Genomic DNA, 13138 nt, shown 5'->3' on the forward strand with positions numbered 1-13138 from the left:
AAGGTTGGGGAAATTTTTGTGGACAGTATTCTGAAATATGTTTTCCAGTTGCTTGTTCTCTTTCTCTTTCAGAGATGTCAGTGAGTCATAGGTTTGGTCTCCTTATACAATCTCATATTTCTTGGAGGTTTTGTTCATTTTTCTTTATTTTTGTCTGAGTTGATTTGAAGAACTGGTCTTTGAGTTCTGAGATTCTTTCCTCAGCTTTGTCTATTCTGCTGTCAATACTTTGGATTGTAGTATGTAATTTTTGTAGTTTTTCAGGTCTTTTAGATCAATTTGGTTCTTTCTTTCTTCATTTCTTTTCTTTCTTACCTTTCTTTCTTTCTTTGACAGAGTCTCACAATGTTGCCAGGCTGGAGTGCAGTGGCGCAATCTCGGCTCACCTCTGCCTCCAGGGTTCAAGCGATTCTCATGCATCAGCCTCCCAAGTAGCTGAGATTACAGGCATGCACCACCACACCCAGCTATTTTTTATATTTTTAGTAGAGACGGGGTTTCACCACATTGGCCAGGATGGTCTCGATCTCCTGACCTCAAGTTCGCCTGCCTCGGCCTCCCAAAGTGCTGAGATTACAGGTGTAAGCCACGGAGCCCAGCCTGGTTCTTTCTTAAAATGTCTACTTGGTCTTTCAGCTCTTGTATCACTTCACTGGATTCCTTACATTCCTTGGATTAGGTTTCAACTTTCTCCTGCATCTTGATGATCTTCCTTGCCATCCATTTTCTCAATTCTTTGTCTGTCATTTCAGCCATCTCATTCTGGCTAAAAGCATTGCCGGGAAGCTAGTATAGTCATTTGGAGGTAAGAAGACACTCTGGCTTTTTGAGTTGCTGGAGCTCTTGCACAGTCGATTCTTTCTCGTCTGTGTGGGCTAATGTTGATTTAATCTTTGAAGTTGCTATCCTTTGGATAGGGCTTTTTGCTTTTATATTCTTTGATCCCTCGAGGGTTTGACTATGGCATAAGCTGAGTTCAGTTGACTGGCTTCCTTTCTGGATGATTTCAGGGAGCCAAGACTCAGCTTAGCACTCCCAGGCTGCATGCTCTAACTCTGGGGGACTGGGACCAGGCCCACTGCTTTGTTCTCTGGCTACCCTCGTGGTTAAGCTCCTGCTGTGCTGGAGGAGCTGAGATTTTTCCGATCTGCTAGGACCAGCACTCCAGTCTCCAGTAAAGGGTACCAGCAAAAGTGCTTCACTGGGGCAGTGGGAGCAGGGTGCGTGCTCACATATGTGTGCATGCACCAGCGGTAGTTGGGCAGTGAAGTCCATGAGCACACACGTGCTGGCAAAGTGGTGGAAAGAGGCTGTGTGCACCAGCAAAACAGTGAGGGGAGGCTGAGGATGGGTGCACACTGGTGGCAGCCCATCTGTAGAAGCTCTCTGATGTTAGATGGGGTCTTCCAGTGAAGAAGCTATGGCAGCAACTGCCACTAAGTGCCCTGATTGGGCATCTGTGACTGGGCTGCTGGTAGGTGCAGCCAGGAAGGGACACTGGGAGAAACCAGCAGATGGTGGGGTTGTTCAGATCAGACAGGCCCCAACCCATGGACAAAATCACCTTGTCTGTCCAGCTTCAACAGGCAGCAATGGCCAAAATCTATCCAGAGGAGCATGGCAAGCCTTGGAGTATGGGCATCCCTGGCCATTCTCCACTATAGTCATACCCATGCCAAACCCTCTGGGTTCCACATGAGCTGGAGTCCTGTCCTTGATAACTCTCCAACCAGCTCTCCCTGCCAGTTCAAATGTGTATGGAGGTCCTTGGGTCTCCTGCAGCTAGGATTCTGGAGTTTGTGGTGAAACTGGAATACTGTATGTAACTCATCCATTCCTGGGAACTATTCAGTGCCAGGAACAAGTCCTGGTGCTCAGAAATGCTGTGCAGTTTTCCCAGGTTCCTCCGCACCTCAGCCCAGGGTCTACATCTTCCCTCCATCCTGTCTCAATACCTTTCTTCTGAAGATCTGCTTGGAGTGTGCCAGTCTTCCTGATCATCTGATCTCTCACTGGGAGAAATTCTTCCTGGCTGCATTTAGTTGGCCATTGTGGTTTTCTTCCTGCCTTCACTTTGCATTTTTATGTTATGAAGATAGCTTCCTTCCTTAAACCACATGAGCCAACCTCTGTTAGATTTAGATGTTTCTTCTGCATCTTCCTCACCTCTCTCAACCTTCGTAGAATTGAATAAAGTTAGGGCCTTACTCTGAATTAGCCTTTGGCTCAAGAGAATGTTGTCACTGGTTTAATTTTCTATCCAGACAACTAAATCTTTCTCTGTATCAGCAATAAGCCTCTTTCACTTTCTTACAATTCGTGTGTTCACTGGAGTAGCGCTTTTTACTTCCCTCAAGACTCTTCCTTGGCCTTCAAAACTTGGCTGTTTGATACATAAAACCTAGCTTTCAGCCTGTCTTGGCTTTTGTCATGCCTTGCTTTCTAAGCTTAATCATTTTTAACTTTTGATTTAAAGTGAGAGACTTATGACTCTTCTTTTTACTTGAACACTTAGAGGCCACTGTAGGGCTATTATTTGGCCTAATTTCAATATTATTGTTTTTCTGGGAATAGGCAATCCTAAGGAGAGAAAGAAACATGGGGGAATGGCTGGTCGATGAAGTAGTTAGAACACATACAACATTTATCAATTAAGCTTTTCATTTTATATAGACACAATTTCTGGTGCTCCCAAATGATTACAATAATAATACCAGATATCACAGATCACAGATCACCATGAGAGACATAATGGTTTTGGAAAACCTGGAGATACTTTAAGAATTTCCCAAATGTAACACAGAGACATGAAGTGAGCACACGCTGTTGGAAAAATGGTGCCAATAGACTTCCTTCCTACAGGGTTGCCACAAATCTTCAATTTGCAAAAAGTGTGAAATCTGTGACACACAATAATGAAAAGCACAATAAAAGGAGGTGTGTTGTATGTTATATAACATTGCGTTATATTTTACAGATGTTAATCAAATATAAAATTATATTGTGTAATATGTGCTATTATATGTCCTATCATATACCTTGTGTGTGTATGTGTACATATTCATTGAATAGGAAAGAGCTTCTGAAAATGAATAATTGGTAATAGAAATGAATAATTCAACAGAAGATTTGAAGATAAATAAAAACTATAATCCAAAACCAAAGATTAGAAAATAAGAGGAAAATCATATGTAAATTGATACATGATTATACATATTTATGGGGATACATGTGATATTTTGACACATGTATATAATGTGTAATGATAAAATCAGGGTAATTAAGACATGCATCACCTCAAACATTTATCATTTCCTTGTGTTGAGAATGATCTGTCATCTAATAGGAGTTTCACAAAGAGAAAAGATGGAAGTCTCAGATAAATAATAAAATTACTAGAACCAAAGGACAAAAGTCCTCAGATTGAAAGGCCCTGCTTAATGTTAAGAAGAAGAAATTTTAAAAAGAGAAAATATGCACAGGACTGATGACACAGTAAGAAATATGCTAACACATGTATGTTCATTGCAGCACTATTAACAAAAGCAAAGATATGGGATCAACATAAATACCCATCAATGGTAGATTGGATGAGGGAAATGTGCTACATATACACCGTAGAATATCATGCAGCCATAAAAAAGCACGAGATCATGTTTTTTGCAGGGACATGTATGGAGCTGGAGGCCATTATCCTTAGCAACCTAATGCAGGAACAGAAAACCAAATACATGTTCTCACTTATAAGTGGGAGCTAAATTATGAGAACACATGGACACATAGAGGAGAACAACACACACTGGGGCCTATTGGATGGTGGTGGGTGGGAGGATGGAGAGAATCAGGAAAAATAGCTAATAAGTAGTGGGCTTAATACTTGGGTGATGAAATAATCTGTACAACAAACTGTCATCACACAAGTTTACCTGTGGAACAAACCTGCACTGAATCCCTGAACTTAAAAAAAAAAAAAAAGAAATATGCTAACAGTAGATGTAACTGTGGCACAGAATAGATTTCTTAATACAGGAATAGGGGGCTCCCTGGATCTAACAATTAGCCTGAATTGTAGAGAAGGCAGTGAACCTGTGCTCCAGAGTTCCATTAGACTTGCCTTCATCTGTGCAGTTTGTTGAGAACACTATATTCTAGATTAGCTTTCACAACAGACTCAGGAAGCATCAGGGAACCTTGCTATCATGAGATTCTTTGTTTTGTAAGTCTTTTTTTTTGTTTTTCTTTTTTTGAATTCATAGTGAAACAAGTGACGAATCTGACTTGTTATTTTTGCTAATCTTCAAAACTGGACAAAACTTTATAATTTGGACAAAACTTTATGAATCAAAAACTTTAGAACACTGGCGTAAAGATAATATATATGTGCATCCAGAGAAATAAAGTACACCATATTCAAAGGGTAAGATTCAGAATGGCACAGAATTCTCTAAGCAGCACCAAAAACTAAGAGACAGTGAAGTAATGCTTTCAAAATCTTGAGGGAAAATTGTTTCCATACATAGCCCTGCTATTAATCAAGTATAAGAAAATTGAATACATTTCCAATATGAACAATCCAAAAATAGATCACCCTGTATCTTTTCTTAGGAAGAAGATATTCTTTACCAATACGTGGCATGAAAGCAAAAAAGACAGACATTTAATTTAAGAGTAGAAGCAAAAGAAGCTACTAGTGAAGTGAACTTCTAGGATCATAGCTGCTTGGCAAACCTAAAGAATCACCATTCTAGAGAAAGAGGAATTTTAGAATTGTGAGAGATGTTGGGGATAAATTAGTAGTAAGTCAATTTAAAAAACTATTAAAATAGAGACAGTGATTAACCCTAAAAGGGAAAAATGAGCAAAAAGGGAAATGTAATTATAGTATACTATTTGACTCAGGTCATGTGAAAAATATTTACATGGTCCTGTGAATGAAAGCATTCAATATTGGTCTTGTCTCTTGAGTGCTTTAACCAAGTCGTAATAGCAATATTTAGCTCTGGTCAGTGACTTGTTAGTCAATCTTGAGTAGGTTCCATTTGCTTCTCTGTACTCAGTGTGAGGCTCTCCTAAAAAGATACATGCACTGCCATGCTGAGGTGTAGAAAACATTTTTGTTTATCCTCTTGCCTTGTCCATTGCCATCTCTTGGCCTCCCGACTAGCCTTGCTTACTAGCCATATTCCTTAATTGCAAGGTGACTAATTAAAGCTAAAAGTGAGTTAGCTTCTATATTGTCACAGTGGACATGGATGGCTTGGGGAAACCAACTTCGACTTTGACTCTACTACACTTCCTGGAGTTTTTCATTCTTATTTCTCTTCCACCCATCTCCAAGCCTTGGTCTCCAATACATGCTCTCTGCTTCTGTTTTCTCTCCACTTTCATAAACAAAGGTTACATAATGATGCCCAGAGACATACATTTTGTTTGGCCTGAACAGAGTTTTAACTTTCTTGTAAGCATTAAAAAGAGAATTTGCATAAAATCTTTTGTCTTTTCTTGAAAAACTGTTAGTTCAGACCCCATTGGTCATGCATTTGGACATGGCCCCAGTGGACTGAAGCTGAGTAATGATACAGCATCTGCTTTTGTATTTGCCACAGTCTCAATGCTCTGCACTTTTATCCCCAGCCTACTTCATTCATTTATGCAATTTCTCACCCTTGCAGGTATTTTGATTTAAAACTCCTGTCCCAGAGTCTTATTTCTGCATTACCACTGTACTGGTGCAGTTTTCTTAGAAGTTAACAACGGCTTCCTCTTGCTGTTATGAGTGGTCTTTTTGCAGAAGTTAAGTCTTCTTACATTTCTGTGCTGGTTGAATTTAGGGTTATTTAAATGAGAGTCCTGTTCTCTGAGAGGCAGTGTGACCCTGGGACCATCACCCCATGAATTTCTATGTTGAAGCAGTTCTGGTTGCACACCATTTTGCTTGCCTTTGAACTTAATCCAAGAATGTTAATTTTGCCATTTGTAAATGTTTGATTTTGTGGCTCTGTTTAAATAGTGGTTTGTGGCTATTCCTTGATTTTACTTTTCATTCTATCAAGGACCTGCACTTTTTTACCAGTCCTTACAAGAATACGGAGTGTGTGACAGAGGCACTGAGGTAGAGACTGCGAGGCATGAGTGTTGGTTTTCTCCTTTACTACTTAGTAGATGTGTGAGTTGGGAAATATCACAACCTTTCTGAGATGTAGACTTTATTCATAAGTTTAAGGTTTTATAATTTTCAGTGAAATTTTCTGTAGATTATCTAATTTGATGCTTATGTTTTACAAATGAGGAATGTTCTGAAAGAAAACCAGGAAAGGACATAACAAAAAAAGAAAACTACACACAAATATCCCTGATGAACATGGATGCAAACATCCTCAACAAAATACTAGCTAACTGACTCCAACAGCATTATCAAAAGATAATCCACCATGATCAAGTGGGTTTTATACCAGGGATGTAGGAATGGTTTAACATATGCAAGTCAATAAATGTGATACACCATATAAACAGAATTATAAACAAAAATCACATGATCATCTCAATAGACGCAGAAAAAAGCGTTTGACAAAATCTAGCATCCCGTGTGACTAAAACCCTCAGCAAAATCAGCACAGAAGGGATATACCTTAAGGTAATAAAAGTCATCTGTGACAAACCCATGGCCAACATTATAATGAACAGGGAAAAGTTGAAAGCATTCCCCCTGAGAACTAGAATAAGACAAGGATACCCGCTTTCACCACTTCTATTCACCATGGTACTGGAAGTTCTAGCCAGAGCAATCAGAAAAGAGAAATAAATAAAGAGCAGCCAAATCAGTAAAGAGGAAGTCCAACTGTCGCTGTTTGCTGATGGCATGATCGTATACCTAGAAAACCCTAAAGACTCCTTGCTCCTACAGGTGATAAATGAATTCAACAAAGTTTCAGCATACAAATGTAATGTACACAAATCACTAACTCTGCTATACACCAACAGTGACCAAGCTGAGAATCAAATCAATAACTCAACCCCTTTTACAATAGCTGCAAAATATATATATATACCTAACCAAGGAGGTGAAAGACCTCTACAAGGAAAACTACAAAACACTGCTGAAAGAAATCATGGATGACAAAAACAAGTGAAAACACATCCCATGCTCATGCTTGGGTAGAATCAATATTGTGAAAATGACCATATGGTCAAAAGAAACCTACAAATTCAATGCATTGTGCATCAAAATGTCACCATCATTCTTCACAGAACTAGAAAAAACAATTCTAAAATTCATATGGAGCCAAAAAAGAGCCTGCATAGCCAAATCAAGACTAAGCAAAAAGAACAAATCTGGATGCATCGCATTGCCTGACTTCAAACTAAGGCCATAGTCACCAAAACAGCATGGTACTGGTATAAAAATAGGCATATAGACCAATGGAGCAGAATAGGGAACCCAGAAATAAAACCAAATACTTATAGTCAACCGATCTTTGACAAAGCAGACAAAGACATAAAGTGGGGGAAGGACACCCTATTCAACAAATGGTTTTGGGATAATTGGCAAGCCACATGTAGAGGAATGAAACTGGATCCTCATCTCTCACCTTATATAAAAATCAACTCAGGATGGATCAAAGACTTAAATCTAAGACCTGAAACCATAAAAATTCTAGAAGAAAACAATGTAAAACTTCTTGTGGATATTGGCTTAGGCAAAGCCTTCATGACCAAGAACCCAAAAGCAAATGCAACAAAAACAAAGATAAATAGATGGAACTTAATTAAACTAAAAAGCTTCTGCACAGCAAAAGAAATAATCAGTAGAGTAAACAGACAACCCACAGATTGGGAGAAAATCTTCACAATCTATACATCAGACAAAGAACTAATATCCAGAATCTACAAGGAACTCAAATCAGCAAGAAAAAATATCAAACAATCCCATCCAAAAGTGGGCTAAGGACATAAATAGACAATTCTCAAAGGAAGATATATAAATGGCCAACAAACATATGAAAAAATGCTCAACATCACTAATTACCAGGGAAATGCAAATCAAACCTATGATGTGATACCCCCTTACTCCTGAAAGAATAGCCATAATCAAAAAATCAAAAAATAACGAATGTTGGCATGGAAGTGGGGAAAAAGGAACACTTTTACACTGTTGGTGGGAAAGTTAGAGTCTCATTCCATCACCCAGGCTGGAGTGCAGTGGTGCAATCTTGGCTCACTGCAACCTCCACCTCCTGGCTTCAAGCGATTCTCGTGCCTTAGCCTCCCGAGTAGCTGGGATTACAGGCATGCACCACCATGCCCATCTAATTTTTTTTTTTTGTATTTTTAGTACAGACAGGGCTTCACCATGTTGGCCAGGCTGGTCTTGAACTCCTGGCCTCAAATGATCCACCTGTCTGGGACTCCCAAAGTGTAGGGATTACAGACATGAGCCACCACACCTGGACTATTGGTGGGAATGTAAACTAGTACAACCACTATGGAAAACAGCATGGAGATTCCTTAAAGAACTAAAAGTAGGTCTACCATTTGATCCAGCAGTCCCACTCCTGGGTATCTATCCAGAGGAGAAGAAGTCATTATATGAAAAAGATACTTGCACACACATTTATAGCAGCACAATTCGCAATTGCAAAAATATGGAACTAGCCCAAATGCCCATCAATCAACAAGTGGATAGAGAAAACATGGTATATATATATATATACACACACACATCCCATAGAATACTACTCATCCATAAAAAGTAAAGAATGATGGCATTCACAGCAACCTGGATGGAATTGGACACCTTGGACACCATTATTTTAAGTGAAGTAACTCAGGAATGGAAAACCAAACATTGTATGTACTCATTCATAAGTGGTAGCTAAGCTATGAGGAGGAAAGGCATAAGAATGATCCAATGGACTTTGGGGACTTGGGGAAAAAGTGGGAGGGGTTTGAGGAATAAAAGACTACACATTGGGTACAGTGTACACTTCTCCGGTGATGGGTGCACCAAAATCTCAGAAATCACCACTCAAGACTTACAAATGTAACCAAACACCACCTGTTCCCCAAAGACCTATTGAAATAAATAAGATATACATAAAGTAAACAAAAATAAAAAAATAGGCATATATTGATTTCTAAATCTCACATAATTCCCTTTCCCCTCCACTTCATTCCAAAATACTCCATAGATAACCTTTTTCTTTCAGTTCCTTGTTAAACTTCCAGTGTTTCCTTGTGCAAAAAATAAACAGAACAACATATGCACCTTGAAAGAAAAATGAAATGATTTCCCTTGGATCATGGGACTGGTCCATGACAGGGTGAGGGCTGATAACTCGGACATCAATTTTCTGTGAGTCCTTATTCGATCATGCAAGGTGTCACTCCCCAGCAAACTGCCTTCCTTGAGGTAAACCCTCTACAGTTCTCAGTTTAAAAAGCCAGTGATCTCTTTTGTGTCAGCTTTAACCTAACCTCTCAAATGGCATTCACATTCTGAATAAGAAACATTGTAAGAAGTGGGCTTTTATTGATCTAGGCTTTGCTTCTTCTATATTCCATGTTCAGTTTTATAGTCAGAACCTTTATTGTTGTTCACAATATCACCACTGGTTGAGCACCTAGTTAATAATAACACACGCGTACATCTAATCTGTGAATTAATTATATATATGCTGAGCATAAGCATTTATAATCCAAACCTAGATGCTTTTGTGAAAGTAAGTAGCTTTACTAATAATTACTCTTGAACAACACATATAAATTTGGATAATGATTCCCCTTGTTACATAAAGCATTAGCACAGTGCCTGGCACATAGTAAGTGTTCAGTAAATGGTAACTTTTAAAAGAAGCTTTATCAAAAGAGGTGAAAAGAGTTGACAGTTTACTGAAGAGTATGCTTAAGAGCTGTTCCTTTCAAAATTAACATGAAGCAATGGGCTTCTGGTGAGAAACGTGTTGTCCTTCTTGTACTGTATGTGATGTGGAATGTGAAGTCTACTAGACTTTCCACCTAAGCAGCAAACTGGGAATGTGAGGAATTTTTGTAGAAAATCTTCCAGGTGAAGATATTTTCTAAGGAGATGAACTTGGGAGACCAAGGTCCAGGGCCACAGAAAAATCATCAATGGACAATTGGGATTATTGGAACTAATATCTTAAAATACTAGAATTCAGAGTTGACTTGTTTTTCAGGTTATCTGAAATATTTTTTAGTGTTTGGTCTTATTTCATGGAGGAAGTTGGGAATGTTTTTAAAGCGGTTTGTCCCAGGTGACTTTCCCAGAATTAGAAGATGTGATCCCAATTTCTAATGCCATATCTCAAGGAACACATAACTTGCTTTCTTACTGGTGTTCTATAGGATTATCTGTAATGCAAGACTACCTTTATAAGCTATCATTTTCCTGGGGAGCAGGCATGCTGAGAGGTGATTCATCTTACTCCCTTCCTTCCAACGTGACACTTTTCCCCATCTCTGAGGTCTGATTGCTAATGTTTCAGCACCAGCTGCAACCTAATCCTTCAGTGAGCACAGCTGAGCTAAGTTAATCTAATTTTTATAGCCTTTGCACCCTAGATATCAATCTCGTGGGTAGTTAAGGCTCCCTGAGCCAGGCTTGGATTCCAGAGTTCCTTATCACTGTCCCCACTGTACTCTTGTCCCCCAGCTACAAGCAGCCCTGTGGGCACCACAGAGCTCCGAAAACATTTGTCCCCACAGCTGGCTGGCTTCCTCAGGCCAGTGTGCCTAATGAGCTGGCCATTGCCCGTAAATCAAGTCAAGCATGCACAGTTCAGGCTTTCATCAGGTGAGCCCTGTTCAGCAATGCCTTTGAAGGAGGGGCCCCTGTGGGCTGCAGAGGCTGTGTGCTGCCCAGATAAACACCCCATCTCAAAGATGTTGTTCTGTTTTGCAGACAGGCTTGTCGTTAGTGGGAGGAAGCGTGCTGGGTTGCCAAGTACCAGGAGTGGACTGATTTGACTTGGGAGCCAAGGAAAAGAAACACACATGCTCACATGCATTCTCCCAAAGAGCCCGACTAGAGACATGAGGAAAACAGAAGGCACAAAAGACTTACGTCCCATCCTCTCACCTGGGGTTGTGCTAGCATCGGGCAGTGAGCAGAGATGTGGCACATGTGGCTCTGATGGGATCTGTCATGAGGACCTTGAACAGTGCCTTAGACACACTGACTGCCAGCTTGGGGCCCAGCCTCCAGTGCCTTTCCACTTTCTTCTTGCTGAAGCCCTCCCAGGCTTCTCTATCTGCTTAATGTCTTCTGTGCTCTCCCCTGTAATTACAGTCTACAGTGATCTACTAATAACTTCCAATCAGGAAACAAGGAAGAAAAATAGCAAATGGGAATTTTTTATGCTTATACGACCCACCTAGGGCAAACTATTTTTTTACATTGGCTTTGAATCTCTCTCCACTTAGTACTTAGTAAGTACTCAGTAAATTCTACATTGGTTTTTCAAAATTTCTGTAGAATTATTTCATTTTATTCATTTATTAATAATAATGATATTTAGTAAGTATTTACCAAGTACCCAATAGGCATCAGATGCTGTTCCAGGTGTTGATGATAGAGTGCTGAACTAGAGAGAAAAAAATCCTTCCCTTCTATGGGAGAACAGACAACGAGAAAGCAAATGCAAGGCAATTTCTGATAGCAATCCTGATGCAATTTCAGATGGCAATTGGGAAATGATAAATAAAATTTAAATGGGAGAGGAGATAAACAGGGTTGTTGGTGGTGATGGCAATGGTTTTTGATAAGGCATCTGGCAAATCACCCCTGGAGAGATTATGTTTAAGCTGAAGATTATTTGATGTGAGGAAGCAAGATACCTGAAATAAGAGAATTCCAGGCAGAAGAGAACCAAATACCAAGGTCCCAAGGTGGGATGAAAAGGGGACCTTGAGGGACAGGGAGAAGAGCAGGGAGGAAGGATCACAGTGAGATCACAGTAAGAAAGCAGCCCGGCAGAGGAGATGGGGCTGGAGAGCAAGCAGGAGCCATGCCTCCCACGAGTGCTGGGAGACAGGACCAGATATGGTCCCTGTCAACCTCTAAGGGAGGCTACCCCATGGAGCCAGCATTATGATCCTCCTTAGGGCTCAAAGTGGCCAGAAGATTTGCTGGAGTTCACACAGATGCTCAGTGACAGAACCCGGATTTGAAGCCAGGACTCAATTCTGAACCCATGCTTTATCCACAATAGTTTCCAGCTATCTTAGCCTTAGGGAGATGATGATTTTGTTAGGGTGACACAATTTAATCATGAATAATGAAAGCAAAAAATATAATTCATGCTTATTTGAATTCTACAGTGCTGGTGTTGGCTACTCTACCATTTCAGGTTTTTTGGTTTGCTGTTTTGTTTTTCTTTTAAGCAATGGGTAACAGACCCTCCTATACCTGGACAGCCTCATGTTAGATATGAAGATGCGGGCAAATGATGTCAGGTGGGTCGTTGCACAAGTCAGTGCAGGAAAACTCAACATAATTTTAGGGCATTAGCAAAGTCAATCCTGTTCATCTAATCAGTGTTGTTCAAACTTCAGTCATTTGTTAAGCAACTTGATGTTTTTGCCATATTCTTTAATTTATTAAAGATTTTTCTTTAAATGGACTCAACTTTTTACTTAAACAAAATTGTCTACAAAGGAAACGTTATACACAATTGCTCAAGACAAGCTGGATCTGAGTGGTTAACATGTTTATTAACGTCTTATGCATTTTCTATTGAAATTAGCTTCCTCCACGTCTCTCTTTTCATATTTATTTTTAAAGACCCATCAACGGATCCCTTGGCTTCTCTATCTTTAGACTACAGTTATGTTTAGATATAGAGGGGTGAAGGAAGACATAGATTAGAGGAGACAATTATTCTACAATCACTCACACATGTCCCTACCTTTTTATTACCATTGTGGCCATCTTAATTTAAGTCCTAATCATATCTCACTTAGATTATTTCCAAAATCCTCAAATTGGATGTCTGACTATTGCCTTTCCTCCCCCAATCCAAACCATGGCTGCCAACGTGGTAAAACTCCAAAAGGGCATTTTATTTTTAAAACTTTTCATAATTTCCTATTGCCTACTGAGTAGACAATTGACTCACCC

General features: G+C 39.7%; 1 long non-coding RNA gene across 3 annotated transcripts in view; it reads right to left on the reverse strand.

Annotated features, from left to right (window-relative positions):
• Positions 1 to 13138, reverse strand: part of LOC105370777 (uncharacterized) — a 556255-nt gene that overhangs the window by 66183 nt on the left and 476934 nt on the right. Inside the window, exon 5 of one of the 3 annotated variants that reach the window (XR_007064586.1) lies at positions 9107 to 11296. The exons of the other annotated variants lie outside the window; for them this stretch is intronic. This is a non-coding gene — a long non-coding RNA (uncharacterized LOC105370777). Of the gene's footprint in view, positions 1 to 9106; positions 11297 to 13138 lie in introns of those variants that run through there. 3 annotated transcript variants of the gene reach the window in all.

The sequence above is a fragment of the Homo sapiens genome, chromosome 15 (assembly GCF_000001405.40).
Source record: "Homo sapiens chromosome 15, GRCh38.p14 Primary Assembly".
NCBI classification, from domain to species: Eukaryota; Metazoa; Chordata; class Mammalia; order Primates; family Hominidae; genus Homo; species Homo sapiens.